Source organism: Homo sapiens, chromosome 1 (genome assembly GCF_000001405.40).
Source record: "Homo sapiens chromosome 1, GRCh38.p14 Primary Assembly".
NCBI lineage: Eukaryota > Metazoa > Chordata > Mammalia > Primates > Hominidae > Homo > Homo sapiens.
In genome coordinates this window covers 22,104,846-22,117,312 of record NC_000001.11, presented here as the reverse complement: position 1 = coordinate 22,117,312, position 12,467 = coordinate 22,104,846, and the positions used below count along the sequence as shown (strand labels likewise).

Sequence of the window (12,467 nt, the reverse complement as noted above, 5' to 3'; positions counted from 1 at the left end):
TCTTGCAATTGTGACAGTGACTTTTTTTATAGAATAGGGAGAAGAGACTTGGAGAAGGTCATGGGAATAGCAGACAAATAGTAGCAAATTCTATATATAGGGGCCCCTTTGCCTTCTTAATAGGTGGTTTGAGGGCCACAAGGACCCACCTGCATGCTTTCTGAAACTTCACTGTTAACACACAAAGGCTTCTTCGTGTGCATTTCACTGGGTCATGACCAGCTACTTAAACCTTGGCCTAGTCAGATCTTTCAAGAGTATTGATGAGGGCCTGGTTGAGTAGAGGGCCTGGTAAACTGGGTACTGACATGGGAGGTAGGGGATGAGGGAAAAGGACTTAGTTTCTGTCCTGAGACATGGGAATCCAAGGACTATGGCTCACAGGTAAACTCCAGGATTAGAATCCAATTAGAATAAGGAGTCTGGGTGGAAAACTTCAAGTAACTCAAGTCTAAAGCCACAGCCAAGGGAACTCGTTGCTGATGGGAGATCCAGGGTGGCTTCTCAGGAACCTCCATTCTAACTAAGTGAAGTCCTTATTCTTACCAAGGTAGGCCATGGCCTATCCCCCACCCCCGCTGCAGCAAACTCACAGCAGCCGGGGAGTGGGTAGGCTGCTCTGTGCTCAGCTTTCCAAAGGCTTAGCAGGGTAAAGGGCTAAAGAAAAGTGCTTTCAGGACAGCAGGGGTGCTTATGAATTTGTGAAGAATCGGGGGCAGGGGCATAATAGACAAAGGGAGGTCCCGGACACGGTATAGAGTATGGGTGGACAAAAAAGGACACCTCATCCTCAGAAAGGCAGGGAGAGGGGATAGAGGGTACCAGAGCAGCAAATAAGTCAAGGTTAGCAACATAGTGAAACTCCACCTCTACAAAAAATTCAAAAATTAACCTAGCACAGTGGCACACACCTGTAGTTTCAGCTACTCAGGAGGGTGAGGAGTGGGGATCACTTGAGCCTTGGGGACAGAAGTTGCAGTGAACTGAGACTGCATCACTGCACTCCAGCCTAGGCAACAGGGCAAGACCCTGTCTCAAAACAAAACCAAACCAAGAAGTCAAGGTGACCATGCTGAACCATTTTCTAGCACTATGCAAAGGTCCCAGGCTTTGAAATCAGATAGACCTGGTTTGGATCCCAGCACTGCCACTTCTTCACTAGATAAAACCTTGGACAATTCATTGTCCTCTCCCAGACTCATTTCTTCATCTGTAAAATGGGCCTGTCCCACCCCCTTAAACACATACTTCAATGGGGCTAGATAATAATAGAATCTATTTATTGGGGGTGTTAAATAAGAGAACATTGGTAAAGTTCAACAACTCTTCTAGAAAACTGCTGGCTCCTTTGCCCAAATGCCCTCACCTCAGTTGCTGCCCTGAGCTCCCTCAGCATCTTCTCTAATTCTCCCTCTTCTCCTTGTGTCTACCCTCCCAGACAACTCTCACTGGAAATATTACTATTCCCTTTTCAGGAACCTAGGAGGCAGTTAAGGTCATGGCAGTTGAGGTCATTGTAAGTTGAAGAGAGCAGGAGGGGGGATGAAACGAGGAGTGGCTCAATCCCTCTAATTCACATGGAACAAGTTGAGGGCTGAGGCAGGTGCTGCAAGACTTTGACCCTACCCAGAGCTCAGAAGCAGGCAGATCTTTACCCAAAGTAGAAAACCCCAATAGGAGAGCAGAGAATCCCAGAGGCCAGGAGACCCAGGCAGCAGCCAACAAGGTTATAGCAAAGCTGTCCCTGGGCACCAGCTGGAGGGGCTGATTGAGATCCCAATGTCTGGGAAAAGCAGGGCAAGGCCAGAGAGCAGGGCCAAGTCGGAAGTGCAGACAGGAGTGCCAGAGCTGCAGGAAAAGGTGTAGTGGGCCCCAAGCGCTCTGCCTGTGGGGACGGAAGTAAGACTTTCAGGCTCCCAGGCTGGGTCCGCTTGCAGAGAGCCTGTGTCCAGGCTCTATCCTCGTAGCTGCCCTCAGAGCTTGGGCCTGAAGTTCTCTAGGAGAGCCGTGAAAATGCAGTGACAAAGTAGACCTCCTTCTCAGCCTCTTCCTGAGAACAACCAGTCCATGGGAAGTCTGGGGAGCAGTAAAGGCCAAGCAAAGGCCAGAGAACACAGGAAAACAGGACAGAAGGGAAGTCTAGGAACTAGACAACTGCGGGAGACTAAGAAAGGCTAGACACAGAGTGACGAAAAGGCAGAGAGGGAGGACAGACATGAGGAAGACAGGGAGAAAGAGACAAGAAGAGAGAAGATGCTGTGGGAGCTCAGAGCAGCGACTGAGGTGAGGGTGTCTGGGCAAAGGAGCCCAGCAGCTTCCTAGTAAGAGGAAAAAAGTGCTGAGCTTCAGGAGAAAGTGTCTGATTCAGAAGGGGAGCTGGAGAGGCGGTCTTAAGGCATGTGGGGGAGGGGTGTGTGGAACACAGCCTGGCCTGGCCCAGTCGATGACTTCATAAGCATCTCCCCCGATTCCTTCCTGAGCCGCCAGTCCTGGTGACCCCCTGCCCACATCTCAAGGGTCTAGGCCAAGCAGGCGCTGACAGGGGAGAGAAGGGGCCCTTCTGGGCCAGGCCCCCAAGCCTGGCACAGTGCCTGCTGCGGGAGGAGGGGACTGGAGGCCCAGCCCTTGTCAGCATCCCGGCCGGCACTTCGGAGGCAATTAGCAGCCCAGCTGAGCTAATCCCCCGCCTGGCGAGGCCAACACAAACAGGCCTAGACCGGGTGCACACTCACCTCCCTGTTTGCTGAGGGGCTCGGTGGTCCGCCAAGAACAACACCAATAACCCAGGGCCTTCTCTAGGTTAAGAGGAGGACCGGGGCCTGCTGAAGAGCTGACAGTGCCCGACAGAGCACACTCTGGCCAGGTGCCCTGGCTGCCCCAAAAAGGCAGCCACTGTTCCCAAGCCTTGGGCCAGTCGGGAAGAGGAAGTTGGACACAAGGAGCCATGTATTCCAATTCAGCACACACCCCACCTCCTCGTGCCACCTGTGAGGAAGAAGGCCCCATGCAAGCTTGTGCCACCTTGGCCAGTCCAACAACTGAGACCAGCAAGGGCTGGGCCCTCTGGTCAGGGCCCAAGGATTACAGGCTCAATGCTGGACAGGGAAAGGCCAGAGGCAACTCAGACCTGGCCCCTGCCCTCAAGGAGCTCAGTCAAGCCAGAGAACAGATTGTGTGTATGACCTTGGAGCAGTGCCAGTCTCTAGCCCCACCAGCACCCCAAGACTTGGGAAGGCTAAGGTAGAACCCTCAAAACAAAGAAGGGAAAGGGGGACCCAGGAGAAGGAACTGAGGCCCAGAAACTGATCACTGTGAAAGATGGTGCAAAAGCCAGTGGAAAGGACCCAGGACAGGTTTTGTCAGACTGGTCCTGGACCAGGCAGTGGCTCCTCTGGGCTTAATTAGCTCAATTCGGCAGCCACTGGGAGAACCCAGACCCCAGGCATGGCGCTTCTCATGTAGCCCCGCTTCTTTTAATTTTTGAGGCAAAGTCTCCCTCTGTCACCCAGGCTAGAGTACAGTGGCACAATAATGGCTCACCGCAATCTCTGCCTCGTGGGTTCAGGCAATTCTCCTGCCTCAGCCTCCCAAGCGGCTGGGATTCCCGGCGCCTGCCACCACACCCAGCTAATTTTTGTATTTTAGTAGAGACAGGGTTTCACCATGTTGGTCAGGCCGGTCTCGAACTCCTGACCTCAAGTAATCCACCCGCCTCAGCCTTCCAAAGTGCTGGGATTACAGGCGTGAGCCACCGCACCCAGCCTAGCCCCCCTTCTTGATTCCAGACCAACTCCACCTTCATCAGCTCTGATCCCCCTTTTGAGCCAAAGCCTCCATCCTCAATTTGGTTCCTCACCTACCCAAGGACTCCCTTTTTTTCTTAAGTCCTCACAGGCCTCCTGCCAGATATAAGGGTCAACAATGGACTTTGTAGCGACATCAGGAACAGTTGCCTCCTTGAAGCTTCTACTTGAGAAAGCAACAGACATGGCCTCCCTGAGAGAGTGATGCAGGACACTACTAATTATCAATACTCAACACCACACCATTTACTGAGCAACTCACTGACCGTGGGTCAGGCCTGCACTAAAGCACCATTTACTAGCATTATCCCATGTCACGTTCATAGGCAAGCAAGTGAACACAAACATTTCCTGTCAGATAAACCAACCAAGAGGCAGGTGTAGGCTTCATCGCTATTTTACGGGTGAGACTGAGACCTACAGAAGGGAAGAGACTTGCCCAAGGCCGGAACCTAAGGCTTCAGCCTGCTGGTCAGGATGGAATATGTTATCAGAGCCCCTCCTCAGTCCCACAGACCCTCCACTTCCCTCACTCCACTACTGGCGTAGACCTACCCTTGGTGCTTCCTGGCCAGAGGGCTTCAGAGCCTTGAGCCTACCCCTCCTCCCCATACAGGAGCATGAAATCTGTCTCTGGCTGGGCTAAGCTGAACTCTGTCACTCTGCTGGAGAATTACACATCGCTCTACAGTTTTCTCTTTAAGGCAGGGGATGAGGAAGCCTGGAGTCACATTGCTAGAGCTGACAAAGCCATAGCTGGAAACAGCAGCCCTCCCCCCACCCCTTTCCCTGGCTGGCGTGGCAGAAGAACTTCAGGCCCAGCTCCAGGCCTGTCAGATTGGCTGTCAGGTGCCTGCCTGCAGCAGGAAGGGGCTGACAATCCAGTCCAAACCCCTTTTGGGCTGCTCCCACACCTGGCTCTAGAGCATCTCGCCTGAACCAAGGTATAGATGAGTTGACGAGTCCTTTTCCCTTCAGTTCAGCCAAACAGGGAGGTATTTTTCAAAAACATCTTTTACTAGGAAATTGAAAGAAAACAAACAGATCGTAAGTACACAGAAACAAGCAGATTCCTAAGCAGGACTTTAACCAGCACCTAACCAGAGCTCTATAGATGCTTGCTTCTCCCTTCTTTCCTCATGAAGCCTCTTTCTAGGCATCAGAAGACCTGGGGTCTCATTCCTCATTGCTGGCAGCCTGAGGAATCTGAAGCAAGTTCATAAACCTCTCAACCTCATCTGTAAAGTAGAGATGAAGATACCGCAGGGCCAGGACTGGACCCAGTTCTAATTCTAAAGCCTCCACTCTACACAGGCTTCCTGACCTCACACTTCCACCATTACGGTTGCTGGAGGCCCAAGTGAAACACTGTATGGAGAAGTGCTATATGGACTGGGAAGGGCTATCAGGGATGCTGACGGTAGTCACTGGCCAGAACACTGGCTCTTTCCTTAAGAGTGAGGGAAGTATATACTGGGCATGTGGAGAATGGCATTCCAAGCTCCTGGTCTCATCAGGTTTAGGTGACACTAGAATTTGCTTGCTGGATCTCTCTTCTCCCATCTCTCCTCCTCCTTCCTTCCAGCACCTCCTGCAACCTGGGCCTCCTCCCCCATCCCCTTCTTGGACAGCAGCTAGAGCCACCTGGGAAGCTTCAAGAATGGCTGATGGTTATCGCAGCCAGGACAGGGCGAGCTGCTGCCCCTCTGATTCATCATAGAGCTGGAGTGGATCCAGAGAAGTGACCAAGAGGATCCAGGGCTGCTGCTATGAATTCAGACAGCTTCAACTGGGAAAGAGGGAGGCTGAGAGGAGCGGCTCAATCCCTCAAATCAGAAGGGTGTGAGGAGAGGGGACTTGAGACTTGCTCTCCAAAACAACAGGCAATAGTGTGGTGGGAAAAGCCTGAGAGCTGAAGTTGCACAGCTTCCCCATCTGTCCCATCTCAAAGGACTCCTGTGAGAACTGAACCATAATGCAGGTCGGCATCCAATGAATAGTTGCTCCCCCATTCCCTTCACTTCTGACCTGGGACACACACACTCACCCTTCCCACCTGGGCAAGTAAGCACAGCCAGATGCTTACTTTACACATCCTGACCCTCTCATCTCAGAATCTAGGATACACTCAATATGGGTGTGATTCCTGCTCCCCAAGCTGCTCAGGTACCCATTTCCAACCACAGCAGGCTTCGGTTTAATAGGGGGACCCCCAGTATGGCAAGGGGAAAGGCAGGTTACTCCCCTCCACTGTGCCCTCAAGGGTCACAGCTCTGTACAGCTCACCCAGTGAAGCAGCCACTTGCTGGCAAGCAAGAGATTCTCAACCTTTAACCTATGTCCCCTGCCTTTGAGAGACAAACCCCTGCCTTGTTAAATCTGTCATTTCTTTTTGTTTTTTTTTTTTGAGACGGAGTCTCACTCTGTTACCCAGGCTGGAGTGCAGTGGCCCGATCTCGGCTCACTGCAAGCTCCGCCTCCCAGGTTCACGCCATTCTCCTGCCTCAGCCTCCCGAGTAGCTGGGACTACAGGCACCTGCCACCACACCCGGCTAATTTTTTTGTGTGTTTTTAGTAGAGACAGGGTTTCACCATGCTAGCCAGGATGGTCTTGATCTCCTGACTTTGTGATCCGCCCACCTCGGCCTCCCAAAGTGCTGGGACTACAGGCGTGAGCCACCACGCCCGGCCTAATCTGTCATTTCAAAATAAATCTTGTGACTAAAAACAAATCAACACAATAGTGATTTTAAAATAAGCATTTCCTTTTTGTTGTTTTTTTTCTATTATTCTCATCTGATAAAATAAGCATTTCAAATTCTACACATCATTTGTCTACCAGCTATTCTATTACTGCCCCCAAGGGGAGCTGGTAGTACAAGTTCTGGAGTCAAAAGTTCAAGGCTGGCTGGCTTGTTCAAGTTCAAGGCACGGTGGCTCATGCCTGTAGTCCCAGCACTTTGGGAGGCCGAGGCAGGAGGATCACGAGCTCTGGAGTTTGAGACCAACCTGGCCAACATGGTGAAACCCCGTCTCTACTAAAAATACAAAAAAATTAGCCAGGCATGGTGGCACAGGCCTATAATCCCAGCTACTCAGGAGGCTGAGGCAGGAGAATCGCTTGAACTGGAGAAACAGAGGTTGCAGTGAGCTGAGACCACAACAATGCACTCCAGCCTAGGCAACAGGGCGAGACTCCGTCTCAAAAAAAAAAAAAAAAAAAGTTCAAGGCTACAGTGAGCTATGATTGCACCACTACACTTCAGCCTGGGTGACAGAGTGAGAATCTGTCTTTATAATTTTTTTTTTTTAATTTTACTGTAGAGACAGTGTTTCACCATGTTGCCAGGATGGCCTAACAGGTGTTAGCCATCATGCCCAGCCACACCTTACCACTTTTCTATAGAAATAAATACTGAACACCACTTTTCTTTTAACTGCCAGTTGACTAATTTCAGCTTAAGTAAACTAATAATTTAGTTATTGACATGTAAGGGACTTAATGTCAACTCTATTCTAGACATTTTTACATTTTCTGTAAGGCAGTTAGCCACAACAGCCCACCAATAGCACCAGCTGGATCTCAGTTACAAGAAAAAACAGCTCAGAACATTCTCAAAAATAATTTTTTTTTAAGTTGTGGAGTCAAATAACCCCAGCTCTACCATGGACTGGCTGTGAACCTTGGGCAAGTCATTAACTTGTTTCCTCAGTTATAAACTGGGAATGAAAAGAGTAGCCGTCTCACAGAGCTATCATGAAGATACAGCATGTAAAACCCTTAGCACATGGCTGGTCACACAGCCAGGGCTCAGTCATTAGCTATTACGGCTTTTAACATCAGAGAATGTTCCTGCCCCCACTTCCAATCCTGAGAATGCTGAGCCAGTAGATGTTTAAGAGTAGGCTCCCCAAGACTTCAGTTGGGCAGAGGACACACTTTAAAGAAAAAAGGGACTGATGCTCCTTTGACAGACCTGTGCTTCCCAAGGTACAAGCCACATGGTGTCATACATACTACTGCTTACACATGCATACCCCCCCACTAAACTGTGAGCACTCTCTGGGTGGGATCTGGAACTTCTATTTCATATCGAGGGTGGGAAGGATGCACTGAAGATCAAATGAACTGAGACATCCATGTTAGGGGAGAAAACATAACCATCTACTGACCATCAGAGAGGTGCAAGATAGACCGACTCACTGATGAACGGCCACACAAGAGTGGGCTCCAGCCCTTTTCCAAAATGCTACAGGTCTATGACTGTTACTCTGGACTCTTCCTTCTCCAGAATAAAGAAGTCAAGGGAACAATTAAACTATCTCTACCCATTACTATCCCTGGACTTCAAGGCCCCTTAGTGCCCCTTTCAGGGCCCCAGAGAAGAGCCTCAGCCTGGGTCCACAACCCATGGTCCCTGTGCAAGGCCTCCCTGGAGGGCCAGCCCACACGGCTTTGTTATAGATGACGGCCTGGACAGCTATCTCACCCACTGTCTTCTAGTCTCCTCATCTCCAAGTTCCTGAAGCCCCGGCCAAAGACAACAGTGTGGACTTGTTTTTTTGGGGCCCAAAGTAGAAGGCTTCTCAGCACCTGGGAGCAGCTGGAAGTTGGAACTCAGGACTCATCGCTGCTGGTCTCCCCATCCTGTGCCAAGTGCATCTGTAAACAAGCCTTCTCAGTGGTTCCCTGCAGCTGCTCCCCAAACGGGTCAAAAGGAAGAGAAACAGGCTAGAATTAGGGCAGCCCATGGCTTGCAAGTGAGAACTGAGCCAGGCAGGGCCTGGTCTGAAAGGTGGTCCCTGGATACAGCCAGGCCTGCACTGCTGGCCCTGTGCCCAAAGCCTTAGATGGGTTCAACATTGCCCATGACTGCTGCCCTATGCCAAGGTGTTGAGACCCCAAGAGCCATGGGGCCTGTGTCACACTGCTGTAGGTCCCACTGTTTTACAAGCTGGCGGGGAGAATGAGCTTGCTGGGGTGGAGATGCCTGGATGCTGGGCTGTTGTGCGTGATTCTGTTTGCTATAAAACAGCCAGACATTCCTAGGACCTGGAATCGCGCCGAGGCCATGGAGTTAGCCTTCCCAGCCATATATCTCCAGGCGGGGGACAGGCCTGAGACATCTGAGATAATAAAGACATGATTGTCTCAGCCCTGGGGCTTGTCTCCCCTTTGTCCCAGGGCCCAGCAGCCAGCAAAAAGTTTAAAGACATCCTCCCCCTTCTCCTGGGAAAATACAAATGCACCAGATTCTATAGCCCCTGGGGTGAACTTCCCAAAAACCAGGCCTCGGCCGGGATTCCTGCTCTCAGCACCCCAAAGCAGAAGGTAACTTGGAAGCACACAGTAGAGACATGAAAAGCTAGAACGTAAAGACACTCACTACATGCTGATCTCATGCACACATCTCTAATTCTCACCAACCCTACAACATAGCAATGATTTAATTTTAGGGATAATGAAACTAAAGCTTAGAGGTTAATGGATTTGTCCAAAGCCACAGCTATTAGATGGCACGAAGGGGTTTGAAACCTAGGTTTGTTTTATCCCAAAACCTGTAACTTCTCTGGTAACCTGAAAACTGCTTTTGAAAAAAATGCTCCTTCTTGGCCAGGCATGGTGGCTCACGCCTGTAATCCCAGCACTTTGGGAGGCCAACGTGGGCGGATCACAAGGTCAGGAGTTCGAGACCAGTCTGGCCAACATAGTCAAACCCCGTCTCTACTAAAAATACAAAAATCACCCGGATGTGGTGGTATGCACCTGTAATCCCAGCTACTCAGGAGGCTGAGGCAGGAGAATCGCGTGAACCCGGGAGGCAGAGGCTGCAGTGAGCTGAGATCGTGCCACTGCACTCCAGCCCAGGCGACAGTGCAAGACTCCGTCTCAAAAAAAAAAAAAAAAAAGAAAAAGAAAGTTCCTTCTTCCTTAACTTCTAGTTTCTCAACCCCAAAAAGGGTAGGAGGACTCCCTTTAACACATGAAGGGAAAAATTCGTATGATGGAGGCAAAACCCAGATTCCTTAATCTGGAACCCAAAGCAGCCACTGCCAGGCCAGTTTCCGTAAATCACTTCTACCTCAATCTGAGCAACAGCCTGTCTCAACGGTACGTGGCTTCATGGAAGGAAAACAGGGACCTGAGAGGTGCTAAGGATGAAATCCCTACATACTCCAAGGATGACTCTTACCCACTTTATGAATGAGTAGAAGGCCAGTTCTAGCTTTCCTAACCACAGAAAAGGGAGAAGAGGCACCACCCACAAAAGTAAGGTGTTTGAGTAGCGGGAACACTGGATTCAGAACCAAAAGACTCCAGTTCAATCTGTAAAATCTTGTAGAAGCTCAACTCTAAGCCAGTTTTCTCATTTGTAAAATAAACACCTGTTCTATTTGCCTCACAGGCTTTTATGAAGATGAACATGAAAGCATTTTCTCAGCAGCTTTATAAATACAATGTATTACGACCCATGCAAGCTTTTTCCCTGTTGCCTTCTTTTGCATTCCTGACTCCTCTTCTCCCTTCCTTCTGTTCATAGAACTGAACTATGTGCTCAACACCATGCTAGATAGGAGAGGCTCAAACACAAGTTAAGACAGCAGAGACATTAAGAAAATCAGGCAGTGTGAGACCAGAGCCATTTGGTTCCCAATGAACAAGAACCAGACCTGCTGAGGCCCAGGAACCGACCTCAGCCATATATTTCTGTCTAAGTTTCAGGCCTGCCCAAGACCCTCTCAGTTTAGCTGCAGGGTCTCAGGACTAGAGGTTTAGTGTCTTCCTAAGTCAGACATTCATTGCTGAACCAAGTGATCTTTTTCAAGGCTACTTCCAGCCCCAAGATCCTACCAATTTGCCCCTAACTCATCTGCTTTTTTTATCCTCAATTCACTGGCCTCTACAAACCAGGCAGCCTCAACTCAATTAGAAACACAACTGCCCTCCCTGGCAGCAAAAGGGGGCTGAGAGAAACCAAGAGCCGGAAGTCCTCCTAAATGGCCCAGGGAAAAGGTGAACCTTCCACTGACTTACCCATTCTGGGCACCTAGACTCAGAACTCTGGAAGAAGGGGGAGGTCATCTGGTATAACAGTCCCAATGGCTGCCCTCAAAAGTTCTCTGCTTGTACCTATTTCAAACAACCTAAACAGCCCTGAAATCGACCAATTTTCTCCAAGCATCATCCCACACACAGACATTTCACTATTCCCTGACAGTCTAACTTTAATTCTGCTTGTAGGGATGGAATATATCTGTCTAAAACAGAGGATGTCTTGGTCTGCAAGTTCCCCAACAACAGAATCTACAAGGCTTGACTCATGACCCAATTTAAGTAAAAAATAAAAATAAATAAAACAGACAAGGAGAACGAAGACTGATACTTGGCTGAAGGTTAACTGAAAGGCAATTTCATGACAGTCAAGCAGACTGGGGTCTAGGGAATTGGCAGCAATTATTTTAAGAAATGAGAAGCAAGATTATCGAATTTGGCGCACAGTAGTGTTTCTATATCTGCACAGGCTGCAGGTATGGGGTGATGACATTCTGTGGGCGGTGGGCTCTTTTCCCAGCAATGTGGGAGCCTGTACTCTCCTCTTAAGGACAATTAGAAAGAAGCTTAACAAACCTTACTAAGTTCCAGGTGCACAACCAGCCAGTCTTTTCTTGCTATTTCTCTGCCATCTAGTGGCTGCTCTGGATCATTACAGGCCCACCTCATCGTCATTTTCCTTGGTCCTTCCAGTAACTTCCTAAATGATGATACCACTTACACAGCTAGATCTGGTGGGTGCTTTACCTATGTTATTGCTAGTCTTCACAACACTGCAAGGTACATTATTAATTCCATTTTTCAAATGAGAAAACCAAGGCTTATAGAAGTCACCTGTCCAGGGTTACAGAGGCTCAGTAGAAAATGTGATACCAAAGTCCATCCTCATGCCATTGTATCACTCCTCCTGAAGGAACAGAAGGCCCTGAAACTAAACATAATTTCAATTCTTCCAGAAATGCCTACATGCTCCAAGCTCCTCACAGCTAGCTACGATCTTGGTCAAGCAGGTGGCACCACTGCCTCCTCCGGAGCCCCACAATGCATTGGAACCACACTGGGAACTGGGCAAATCACCCCACTACATTTACTTCATTTGAAAACTGAGAGATCATGTAAAAATGTGTACACAATGTTCATTGTAACCAAAAGGTAGAAATAACTCACGTGTCCATCATTTGATGGAATGAATAAGCAAAATGTGGTATCTCCATACAATGGAATACTATTTAGCCATAAAAAGGAATGAAGTAATGACACATGCTACCATACGGATGAACCTTGAAAACACGTTAAGTGAAACAAGTTGGTTAAAAAAGACTACATATTATAATTATACGAAGTATTCACAATGGGCAAATCTACAGTGACAGGAAGTGGTTCAGCGGTTGTTTAGGGCTGGGCAGATGGGGCAGAAAGTTTCAGGGTATGACAGCTAAAGGGTGTTTTTGAAGAAAAGAGTTTTTGAAGGAAAGAGAAAGTTCTAAAATTTATCAGGTGATAGTTGCACAATTTTGTGAATAAACTAAAAACCACTGACTTGTACACTTTAAGTGAATTGTATGGTACAGGAATTATATCTCAATAAAGCTGTTACACTCACCCCACCC

At 49.0% G+C, this 12,467-nt stretch overlaps 1 annotated feature.

Annotated features, from left to right (window-relative positions):
* Positions 739–908: an enhancer, noted in NCBI's record as "experimental_5416 CRE fragment used in MPRA reporter constructs". NCBI's record gives its function as "activates a minimal promoter by MPRAs in K562 erythroleukemia cells, with activity observed for the introgressed 1:22442983 variant allele {active_cell/tissue: K562}" and the evidence as "EXISTENCE:reporter gene assay evidence [ECO:0000049][PMID:34662402]".